At 36.8% G+C, this 12,987-nt stretch overlaps 1 protein-coding gene across 2 annotated transcripts in view; it reads left to right on the top strand.

The window, feature by feature from the left end:
• CNTNAP3 (contactin associated protein family member 3) overlaps positions 1 to 12,987 on the top strand; it is a 223,458-nt gene that overhangs the window by 169,238 nt on the left and 41,233 nt on the right. For both annotated transcript variants that reach the window (NM_001393379.1, NM_033655.5), the window contains exons 14-15: positions 671 to 827; positions 9,643 to 9,770. In NM_001393379.1, coding sequence (NP_001380308.1) covers positions 671 to 827; positions 9,643 to 9,770 — 285 coding nt within the window. The remainder of the gene's footprint in view (positions 1 to 670; positions 828 to 9,642; positions 9,771 to 12,987) is intronic.

Raw genomic sequence — 12,987 nt, 5'->3', positions numbered from 1 at the left:
CATTTAATCATTGTCAGTGCTGAGAAGGAGGTGCACTCGTCAGAGCTGTAGTTGACCCAGGGCACTTTGTTTCTTCGCATGAGAAATCTCTAACCTCAGAGATGAGAAAAGCCTATCAATGTCATTCCTTAACCTCCAAATAAAGAGTCAGGACATCCAATGCAATAAAAACAAATACCTCCAAAAATTAGTAAGTACTGACAGAGAGTACCATATCTTTCCAAATGTGTAATATACAGGTAGTTAGCAAAAAGATGGGATGAGATAAATCAATGTCTTTGTATAATATTAAACTTTCTCAATGAACATTTCATAATTTCAAATAGATTTTATCTTTAGTGTGCAAATTACTCTGGTATTTATTTTAATGGTGAATTTTTTTGAATGTTATTTCTATAGAAAGTATGTATCACATGCAACTGACTGATTTCTAATAGAAGAAAAATAGATGGAATCATTTAAGCCTAGATATTGAAATATTGGGGGAAAAACATTGGTTAGGCTTAAATAAACGTTTCAGAGGTAAAATACAAGTATTTAAGTATAGTTTCATTTTCTCTCTCTCTGTCTCTCACACATACACTTTACACCTGGGAGTAAAGGGAGCTATATGGGGAGGGTGGTAGTGAGGGACAAAGTAGATGTCATGTTTCTTATACTTGTCTTTCAGATGGAACCCCACTGAGCTGGTGGGTTGGAAGAACCAATGAAACACACACTTCCTGGGGAGGTTCTCTGCCTGATGCTCAAAAGTGTACTTGTGGATTAGAGGGGAACTGCATTGATTCTCAGTATTACTGCAACTGTGATGCTGGCCGGAATGAATGGTGATTTCCACATGATTTCCCTGCACAAAAATGTGGTTTTTATTCTTTAATTATGCATAGTTAATTAAATGTCAGACAAGCTGGTACAATAAGGTAACTAAAGTATGTTCAAGCAAGCTGAAATACAAGTTTTGATGAAATATGATCAGTTAATCTAAGGATTAAATTTTATGACCAAAGATTTACTAGTTCGTTGTGAATACTATATAATGTGTTTTTTATTTTTCGTAAAAGAGAAACAGCTGTTAAGTTTTCCACTCACTGGAAATCAAATATCATTCTCTGCGAAGTTTAGTTAATTAATTAACGTAGTATTCATGTGGCAATTCAAAAAGCAAATTCCTCCAAATCTTTGTCTTAAATTGATTTGGGATATAATGCTGCATATTCTATCTTTCTTTTAGAAATTAACATTAACACAAGAAACTCTGAGAGGTCCTGCATAAAAGGACTGTGTTTATTTTGTAGAAGCAACAATTTCCCACACTCATTGAAATCTTCAGTGCAATAGCAAAGCTTCAAGCACCAACTGTTCTGTAGACCATACTTTGAAACAACTAACATAGACTTTCTGGAATTTGAAAATTATTTTGTAAGCTTTCCTTTGAGCAGAAACAATTTTCTCATGTAGATTGCAATGCCTTTTTTTCAGAAGTTCTTTTTGAGGTTACTCTTGAAATGCATATTGGTTTTCTTTTTTTTATTTGTAATATGTAAATGTTTTCAACCTTTGGGTTCATGTCAGCAACTTAAAAAGCATTGTCATAAAACAACTAGATCATGTAGAGTACGTGCTTTAAAAAAAAACTTAGGCCAGGCACTGTGGCTCACGCCTGTAATCACAGCACTTTGGGAGGCCAAGGCAGGTGGATCACCTGAGGTCAGAAGGTTGAGACCAGCCTGGCCAATGTGGCAAAACCCCGTATCCACTGAAAATACAAAAATTAGCCGGGTGTGGCTGTGTGTGCCTGTAGTCCCAGCTGCTCAGGAGGGTGAGACAGGAGAATTGCTTAACCCAGGAGGTAGAGGTTGCAGTGAGCCGAGATCGCGCCACTGCACTCCAGCCTGGGCGACAGAGCAAGACTCCACCTCAAAATAATAATAATAATAATAATTAATAAATAAAAAATGTAATGGTCAATCCAGGTGTCAGTATAATTGATTTGGACATAAAATAGCTAATCTAAGCAGTAATTTGATTCCTAAAAATGGAGTTGTTTGGCCTGCATGGTAGTCCACTTATTTATCTGGCATAAAAAGTCTACTTTGCATCACTTTAAAAAATATTGTGAAGTTGGGAAAACTCACTTGAATCTACTGGAGCTTTCTATAGAATACATACTATACATTTACATGGATATTATTTTTAATCTTCCTCAAGTTCAAAATTACTAAATGATCATACAGATTTATGAGACACTCTTTTTGAATATTTTGATATGCAATCTTAATACAACTTTCTCTTACTTAAAAATGAATGCAGTTTTAGTGCAGTGAGTAACAGGAACAGATCTGATCCATAGTTTCAAATCTGACCACCAGTAAGTTTCAGGTCTGAAGTAATTTCCCATGAGTTAAAATGGTTTTGTACAATATTTTGTATGATGTACATTTTAAAGTGTCTGGTATGATAATGTGATGATGTGTGTTAGCTTTGGGCTCTAATGAGACAAACAGCGACCTTCAAATCTTTTGACGGACATCTTTAACAATCCTAGAGGTTTTCATTTCCTCCATTCCACAAGGGGCTCCTGCCTGTGAGGGCTCCAGCCCTCCAGCTCCTGGCTGTTCAGAAGACCTCCAGCTCATTGGTCTGTCCCCACCCCCATTCTCTACAGGTCAGAGAGGAGAGCATTGGCAGGTTATTACAAGAAAGCCAGAATGGCATATATGCTAGTGGCTTTATAACTTAGTTCGAAGAATGTTAACCGTTTTGTTTTGTTTTTGTTTTGAGACAGAGTCTCTCTCTGTCGCCCAGGCTGGAATGCAGTGGTGCGATCTCAGCTCACTGCAACCTGCGCCTCCCGGATTCAAGCGATTCTCCTGCCTCAGCCTCCCGAGTAACTGGGATTACAGCCGAGTGCCACACCCGGCTAATTTTTGTATTTTTAGTAGAGACTGGGTTTCACTATTGGCCAGGCTGGTCAACTGTTTTTTTGTTACAGAACCTTCTGTTAGTATTAAGTGCATACTTTATTGTAGACTTCACGTATGCTTAGGGCAGTAACCAGAGGAACGTATCACTTGGAGCCACCTGTATTGAGTGACCCTCCCATGAACTGAGTTTGAGGAGGGGAATGGGAGGAACTGAGGTGGGTGCAGGTCCTCTGATACCCTTAGCCATGTCACTTCAGCACCGTCAAGGACTGCACTGGTGTGACAGAAGCCCTGGGCTTTCATTTGGAAAAAAATTTAGGAGAGAAGCAGGTTTTAAAAATTAACTCCCCTCCTACATTCAGAAGGGAGCATTGTGGAGTCATTTGCTTTTTAACCTTATTTTATTTACTTTGCAGCTTCCAGTAGACAGGTCTATCCAACAGTAAGACCACAAGCATTCTGAAATCCTATCCCAACTTTTGTAGATTGTTTTGTAAATGTGGGGGTGTGTATGGGGGTGGGGGGGTGGGAAATTACAATTTCTATTTTAATTTTTCAAATAAAATTGATTTTTCAGTTTATAAAAATGGAATTTACCAGTCTCATGAAATGAAAAGATTTATAATTGTAATAATTTAGATTAAGGTGTAGACATAAGAACATAAATCTTAGTCTTTATTACTTATTTTCTATTACTGAGGTGTGCCTAGTAAGGTTTTCCTGGTGGAAAGTTTATAATAAAAATAGTATTTGGGAATGAAAGTAAAGTGAAAGCTATTTTAAGTCTCTTCAGGCATATGTCCGTTAATGGGGCAGGCAGTATTGTTAATATAAACCATCGCCATTTTTCCGTAAGTTGTCCCTGTAATCAGCAACTCGTCTAAAGCATATTACTTAAAAAAAAGTTTATGATCAGACAGTTCCTCAGGCACAGTAAGAATATTCTATCAAATAACTATAACATGCCAAAGATTTATTATAAAAACAAATATATTTAAAAGGCACTATAATGATTTAAAATATTGAACTATGCTGCAAGTCAATATATGTGTATAAATGTATAGTGGACTATGTTCAAATAGACCAATATATTCTCTAAAATATACATATAACATATAATTCAGCTGTCTGCAAAAATCCACAAGTTGTTTTGCTAATATAATGATGACACATGTAACTGTAATATTATTTTACTTAAGAATTTAAATAGGACTTTTGTGTGATTATCTTAGAGTCTTTAAAAGTAACCACAAAAAAAAGCATAAAATAAGATGGTTTAAATGCATACAAGTGTACAAATAATCATAATAAATATGAGTAAACTCTGTTCATTTAAAAACCAGACATTAGATTTTATCATATTGGATTTTTAAAGAAGCTATAGCTTATTTACAAAAGATAAAATATAAGCACTCAGTGAAGTTGAAACTAAAAGAATAGAAAATATTTACCGAGTAAATACAAATCAAAAGAAAGCAGATACAGCTGTATTATGTCAGACAAAGATGAAAAGCATTGTTAGGGATAAACTTGAACTCTATCTAATGCTGAGATAAACTCACTAGAAAGATCTCACTACACTTGTGTGTATCATCAGATTGTTTAAAATATATAAAGAAGTGGCAGGGCGCCATGGCTCACGCCTGTAATCCCAGCACTTTGGGAGGCTGAGGCGGGCAGATCACGAGGTCAGAAGATCGAGACCATCCTGGCTAACACAGGTGAAACCCCGTCTCTACTAAAAATACAAAAAATATTAGCCAGGCATGGTGGTGGGCGCCTGTAGTCCCAGCTACTCGGGAGGCTGAGGCAGGAGAATGGCGTGAAGCTGGAAGGCAGAGCTTACAGTGAGCCAAGATCACACCACTGCACTCCAGCCTGGGCGACAGACCAAGACTCTGTCTCAAAAAAAAAAAAAAAAAAAGTATGTGTGTGTGTATATATATATATGTGTGTGTGTGTGTGTGTGTATATATGTGTGTATATATATGTGTGTATATATATGTGTGTGTGTATATATATGTGTGTGTGTATATATAGAGAGAGAGAGAATTAACAAATATGCAAAGGCAAATTGACACCCAAAACAGTGGAATAATTAACATAACATTTTTGGGAATGAGTAAGTGAAGCAGGTAAGAATATTTTAATATTATAATTAACAAACTTGATATAGCAGCCATATATCGTTTAGTAAGGAAAAATTATTTCTTTATAGAATGTATTATACATTATTGTTGAATAAGTATAAAAAATTTTGTAAATGGATGGAATCTTAACAAATTTTATGGAATTGTCATGATGGAAACTATATTCTTAACTGTAATCAATAATGAATATATAATTTTTAAAAGTTCATGCGTGTGTCAGTTAAAGACACAAGAGGAAATAAAATAGATGTAAGTGATAAAAAGTTTGGAAAAGAAACAAACCTGGCAGATATTGTAGATAATATGATTGCCTACATAGAAAATCCAAAATAATATAAAGAAATATCAGGAAAAATGAGAGTTCAGTAAGTTTGCTGAATTTATGGTCAGTCAGTATTGAGGAATTACTTGAATTTCTATAAAATCTTAAAATAATTACCATTACACACCTAGAAAAATTTTATTTGCAATATTAACAAAAATGTAAAGTTCTGTGGAATAACTGCAGTACTTTTATGGAAAAAATTACAAAATTACAAAACTTATTCAAGAGAATTAAGGACAGCCAAATAAATGGATTGACTCACTACTGTCGTGGATAGTATGACTCAGTATCTTAAAGCAGTAGTTCTCAATCGGGGGTGATTTCGACTCTTGGGACATTTGGCATTGTCTGAAGACATTTTTGTCATCACACAGAGAGGAAGGTTGTTTATATTAGTGTCTATTAATTAGAAATCAGGGTGCTGCTAAGCATCCTACAGTGCACAGGACAGCCCCCCCATAACAAAAAAAAATTAGCCCAAAATATCAGTAACGCTGCTGTTGAGATACCCTCTTTTAAAGTTGACATTCTCATCAAATTAGTCTGTAATTTTAACAAAATTCAAAAAAATGCCAAGTGGTTTTACTTGTGTGGATTGCAGCAACCTGGTTTTAAAATTCATATGGAAATTAAGGATGAAAGGATAAGCAAGATAATTTTTAAGATGAAAAATAAAGTGAAGAAACTAGTTCTGTTAGCTGTCAAGACATACTGTATTGCTGTAGTAATTAATGCAGGTTGAATTGGCCAGAAGATAGGCAATTAAACAGAAACTGAGAATCTAGAAATTTTTTAAGTGTGTTAGATGTGGATCATAATGATTTTATTATTGCTGACCTACTCCCCCAAAATAATCATTAACAGTTGGGCTGGGCGCGGTGGCTCACACCTGTTATCCCAGCACTTTGGGAGGCCAAGGCGGGCGGATCATGAAGTCAGGAGTTCGAGACCAGCCTGACCAACATGGTGAAACCCCGTCTATACTAAAAATACAAAAATTAGCTGAGCATAGTGGCGCACGCCTGTAATCCCAGCTACTCTGGAGGCTGAGGCAGGAGAATTGCTTGAATCCTGGGGGTGGAGGTTGCAGTGAGCAGAGATCACACCATTGCACTCCAACCTGGGCGACAAGAGTGAGACTCTGTCTCAAAGAAAAAAAAAAAGTTAAAAAGTTGACTTAACATTTCTCCCTTTTAGCTTTCTTTGCAACCTCCCAAACTTATGGCCCTACTTTGCCTTAAATAAAGTTCCCTGGCAAATAATAAGTAGTAGCTTTTAGAAGTTTTCACACTTCCTAGGAAAGTACAATTTCCAGAACCGTAGGAATTTCTAATAAATAAAAATTTTAATAAAATATAAAATAAAAGCAAAAAGTCTTTGAAAGTTCTCTTACTGAATTTTTAATACTGCTGCAAGAGATTATGGTACCTATGAAAGCACTATTTCCAAGTGTAGACTATAGTATAAGCTTTAGAAAATAATAGAAAAGAAAAATGAGATGTCCCTATTAATTAGGAAGTTTTGAGGAAGTCTGATAACTATGACAAATCCTGAGTATTCTATTTTGATCTCCAAAGGTTGGGAATCTGCCTGTAACAATAAGAAACTGGTGAAAAACACTGGCTATCTTTATGCTCAGAATGAAAACACCAGACTTTCCAAAACAACTGAAAAAACAAGACTTTATTATAGTATCTGCCCTAATTAAACTGAAATGTGGATTTCATTTACACATTCTCAATATTTTGCACAGTCAGTATTGAAAATGGAATGAAACTTGGAGCTCCCGTGAAATAGATCTTTTAAAATACAAGCATCCTCCATAAATAATTAAATTGCATTTTCTCTACTAGACTATCTTGCTAAAATGATGATCACAGAAGTTGAAATGGTAATTTTTAATGGCTACCACCACATTAATAAAAAATTTCCTAGACCTACCTCATTCAGCAGGAGACATATTTCTAGCTTGTCTACCATCAATCCACTCTAAAGCTGAATGGTGATGCCTTTAGATAATCCATATTCTGTTCTTTGCATAAAAATGAATAACAGAATCTTAACTAGGTAAAGCAACAGGGTTTTAGTCTGAATTTTAGAAATAAGCTTTCTTTACCATTAAGTGTATTTTTTCAGGGAATAATCTTAAATAATATAGCCACTTTATTTTAGTTTTATATTTTCCAATTTGAAAGTTTGATACCTAAAGTCTTTTATAAAAGAAGTTGATTAATGGGTACAAAAGTCGAGTTAAGTAAAAGAAATTCTAGTATTTGATAGAACTAGAGAAATTATAGTTAACAGTAATTTATTGGATATTTCAAAATAGCCAGAAGAGAATTGTAATGTTCCCACCACAGAGGATAACTGCTCAAAGTGATGGATATCCCAGTTATCCTGATTTGATCATTATGCATTGTATTCTAGTATCAAAATAGCACATGTGCCCCCAGTATATGTACAACTCTGACATGCCAATTTAATTTTTTTTAATTCAGAAAGCCTTATTTTGAAAATACAAAAGTGTTGCAATGATGAAATATCAATTATTGTGATCTTTTGCCACAAATGCATACAAAAGAAGGTTTGAGAACTGGGCAATTTAAAAAATACAGTATTTACTAGATACTGTGGAGTTTCTAACCATAACTGGACTAAGAGTGTTTTGTCTGTAAATCAGAATGTACATGCAGTTGAGACATATATGTGATAAAATATAACCAAAAGTATATAAATATAAGCATTTTGTTATATATGCATATATGCAATATTTATTATTGGCCAAATATTTATTACATATACAGTTACATACACATATATAATAAAATACTTTTGCAGCAGAGTAGACAAATGCCTTTATTTTGGCCAGAGACAAAATTAGTGGCATAGCTAAGACCAGGACCCCAGGTTCCCCTAGGGGATCCTCCAGGTCTCTTTGTATTGGACCCAGACGTGTGCATTTATTTTCCCAGTCACATAATTAATACTCATGGTATTCAATAGGCTGTGTGCTTTCAGAAGGCAGAGACTAAAATATATTTTTTACTCTGTGTCCTCAATTCCCAGGACAATGTCTGTTTGACAAAAGGTGAGCGCTGAGTGTGTGGGGTTTTTTGTTTGTTTTTTGTATTTTTTGAGACAAGGTCTCACTTTGCCACCCAGGCTGGAGTGCAGTGGCGCACACATGGCTCACTACAGCCTCTACCTCCCAGGCTCAAGGGATCCTCCCACCTCAGCCTCCCATGTAGCTGGGACTACAGGTGTGCACCATCACACCCAGCTAATTTTTGTATTTTTTGTAGAGACGGGGCCTCACTATGTTGCCCAGGCTGGTTTCGAACTCCAGAGCTCAAGCAATCTGCCCACCCCAGTCTCCTAAAGTGTTGGGATTACAGGCATGAGCCACTGTGCCCGGCCTGTGTTTGTTGCCTGAACTACTGGGAGCAGTGTTTCACAGACCACTTTCACACTCATTAGTCTATGTATTACTTATAAGGGTGTAGTATGTATTTGGTTTTGAATCTGTGGGATTCATTTTGCATTTACAAAGTTAACAAGGAAAGAAATACCCAGTAATCATAAAAGGACTTTAAAAAATAATGATAAATTAATATTCTGCAAAATGAATATCTAAATCCAGTGTTACTATTTTTATTTGTAATGAATAATCACTTAGATATTATTCTAAGACAATTTTAGAAGGGAAGTTACCTTCTTGATTTTTCCCCTTCTCTGTAATCATTTAGATCAGGAATTGGCAAACGGGTCAGGAGTTGATAACCTCTTGCTTTGGGTGAAATCCAGACCACTAGTCTATTTTTGCATGGCAGTGAGCTAAGAATGTTTTCTTTACATTTTTAAAAGGTTGAAAAATAAAAAGAATATTTCATGTCTTATAAAACTTGTATGAAATTCAGATTTCATATCCATAAATTTTTATTGCAACCCAGCCATGCCTGTGTCTGTGGCTGCTTTCACACTTTGGTGGCAGAGTTGAGTAGTTGCTGTGAGAAGCTGCATGGCCTGCTGAGCTAAGATAGCTTGCTGTATGGTCCTTTACACAAAATGTTTGCCCATCCCTGATTTAGATTCATGGTAGTCTCTGTGCTCTCAAAATATTGAAAATGTTAAGTATTCTGTTAAGCTCTATGATGTTGGTTTCAAATTGAGATAAGAGATCAGAGTTAATTTTGCCCGTATGTTAATCAGAATAATTTTAATGGTTTCGGTTGTTGTTCTTTAGGACTAGTGACACAATAGTCCTTTCCCAAAAGGAGCACCTGCCAGTCACTCAGATTGTGATGACAGACGCAGGCCGACCACATTCCGAAGCAGCTTATACACTGGGGCCACTGCTCTGCCGCGGAGATCGTAAGTAGTGTCAAGAAAAAGCTTTATTTTCATAATAACTTTTTTTGGTTATAAAAGAGTAGACAAATGCCCTTGTTCTTGCCAGAAAGAGAATAGTGGCAGTACTAGGACTGGGGCGAATATCAGGAAAACACACATACCATAAAGGCACAGTCAGTACTGAAGATCTGTGTTTCCTTACTGAAGCATTAGTTTATAGAAAATGAATCATCTTTGTTTTAACTTATTACTTGCTTGGCTGGATTTATTATCAATTGATTGTATTTTTTCCAGAACAATCATGAGATGAACTATTTTCTGAATTCTAAGGGATATTTATTCATTGCCCTTATACTCTTCAGACAACTATAGTGGTAGGAAATTATTGGACACTCTCTATTTTCTGACCTCTGTACATTCTGTTTTACATTACATGGCACCGAATGTGTATTAATCTCTTTCCTGCAGCATTTTCGTTCATGGGTGGCTTTCATGGTCAAGTCCTCGCTCCTCCACCTCAGTGGCACTATAAGCCCAGGGTTCTTAGAGGATCTACCTACTGCGTAGCACGGGAACCACAACTAAGCTAGTAAAAATCTTCTTTCCCTGAGAAAAATTTTAATAGTGTTTCTTACCCACTAGCATCATACATTGCCGTGGAGAAGTCTGAGACTAAATGTATTTTTATTTCCTGCTCTACCTCAATGTGTGGAGGCTACTTCTGAGAGAGGTGGTTCACCAAGGAGCCTGAGCCTCTCTGTACATTCTTGCCGAGTGTGCCAGATGGCGTGGCGTCTCCATCCCCTAATACCAAGCAGTTTCTGTAGCCAGTCGTGTAGGCAGCTAAGTAGTTCAAAGAGAACACAACATCACTATCGATGCGTACTCACTCCCCAGAGAGGGGGGGGACCGGCTTGTCTCCTGCTTGATGAAGGAGTCCCGGACCCTTGTCTGGGGGCTCCTCATCTGAGATGCAGACCTACCCACTGTGTGTGTAGCATCCACCTGGGCTGATGGATTGTGTTGCCCTGTGAAATTTGGAGATAGGGGGAACCAATGCAAATATTCTGACACTCATGCTGCATGCTGTGCTGTGAGCAGTAAAGTTCTTTAACTCTGACCCGGAAATTTTGTGTTTTCTATCAGCATCCATTAATCTGTGGCAAGCTAAATTGTTAGCTTGCAAGTAGGGTGAAATCTCAGACTCCTCACAGCTCTTGACAGATATGTTATCCTTCAATTTCAAAAACTTATCCAGAATATGCCTTGGCATTAATTATTCTGTTAATTTTTTCTAAAATGAAATATGCTTATTTTGACCGAAATATTCTGTTCTCTTTTAAGAAAAAATGGTTTTTATTATGCTTTGAATACTTTGTTTCATTTGTTGGATTCTCTGCATCTGGGACTGTTGACTTGTTTCCTTTGCCCCCCATACATTTTTTCTGTTTCTTCCAATGGCTTTAATCTCTTTGTCCTTCTCCTATGCATTCAATATGATTATTCTAAGCTTCTCCCAATGTCAGTAATTTGTTATCAGCTGTGTTCTCCATTTCCAGATATTTCCGATTTATCTGTTACCTCTGTGATTTTGTTTGGGTCTTTGATTTTTTTTCCTTAAAAATCATCTTTTCTGTTTATCTCATATTTTAGCTCTTATTTTACTGAATTGGTTTTTATATTATTCCCATAGTGTAAAACTCTTATGAAATTTTTCTTTCCTTGTGTTCTCTCTTAATTTCCTTCCTCCATCCCATTCAGATGGCTCCTTCCTTCCTTCCTCCCTCCCTCCCTCCCTCTTTCTCTCCCTCCCTTCCTCCCTCCCATTCAGTCTGGCTTTTATACTCCTTCCTTCCTTCCTTCCTTCCCCACTCCCTCCCTCCCTCTCTTCTTTCTTTCTCTCTCTTTCTTTTCTTTCTTTCTTTTTCTTTCTTTCTTTCCTGTCTTCTTTTTTTCTTTTTCTTTCTCAGTATGTTTGCACTGTTTCAGCGCTTTTTGAAACATTGTTTATACTTGTAGTGTAAGTCTACACCACAGGTCTGTCTGGCAGGTCTGTCCAGACATTTAATTCATTTATATGGAATGGAGTTGAATTCTTCTCGACATTCATCTCTTCACAATCAGACACATACTTCTTGTCCCTTCTGAACTGCAATAGCAGGACTAGAGTTGGTCATCCTATCAATTTTTTTTCCCATAATCTAAGAGCTCAAGGGAGGGATCTGTTGAATTGTATCTGATTTACTGGCCATTCTCTGTGCCGTTTTATCTTCAAGAATTATTAAATGTCCTGTGCCAGGCATCACACTGAAGCATGGAGGGTATATCTGCAGGCTTCAGATGCCTCCCACAGTTCAGTAATAACCCCTGGAAATTTGTAGCTTTTTCCCCTGCCTATTGATACTCTGACATCAAACACTGGTTTCTAGGTACTCTGTACTTCTCAAAAACATTTTCTAGATTATTTTCTCTCTGGAAATTTACCTCAGCCCTTCATTTCTCTCCAAACGTGGCTGTATTTGTGAGACTCTTCAGGATATGTCATTCACCTTCAGTTTATATCCTACTTTCAGCAAGACTTCTGAAAGTATGGAGAAGAGAAAGTGTGATATTTGAAATATTCCCTTCTCTTTTTGGGAGACTGAGATGGGAGGATGGCTTGAGCCTAGGAGTTCAACACAAGCCCGGACAAGATGGTAAGACCCCGTCTCTTACAAAAAAACTAAAAATTAGCTGGGCATGGTGGCCTGTAGTCCTAGCAACTAGGAAGGCTTAGGTGAGATGATCTCTTGAGCCCAGGAATGTGAGGTGGCAGTGAACTATGATCATGCCACTGCACTCCAGCCTGGGTGACAAAGTGAGACCTCATCTCTAAAATAAATAAATAAATTGATTAATGAAGAAAGAAAGAAAAATAAAATATTCTCTTCTGTAAAACTTGTAGATTCCTCTTCCTTTCTCTTTTCCTTTCCTTATCTTCATCTCTGTTTTCTTTAACATAACACTTATTGATTCTTTTCCCTTCTTTTGGGGCAGCTGGGACTAGGGGATCTGCAGGGATAGGGTCAAGGAATGACCACTGGGTTAGAAGCTTGGTTCCACACTGGGGAATGAGCAAATATGTAAATACAGTGAGGAGAGTAGGAGTGACCTTCTCACTGAGGAAAGAGTTATACATGTGGGAAGGAGGAAGACTGTAATGAACCCTGTGGTGCTGGGTTAAAAACGGAGGTATCCA

The sequence above is a fragment of the Homo sapiens genome, chromosome 9, assembly GCF_000001405.40.
Source record: "Homo sapiens chromosome 9, GRCh38.p14 Primary Assembly".
NCBI lineage: Eukaryota > Metazoa > Chordata > Mammalia > Primates > Hominidae > Homo > Homo sapiens.
The sequence above is the reverse complement of the archived record's forward strand: the minus strand, read 5'-3'. Positions and strand labels throughout refer to the sequence as shown.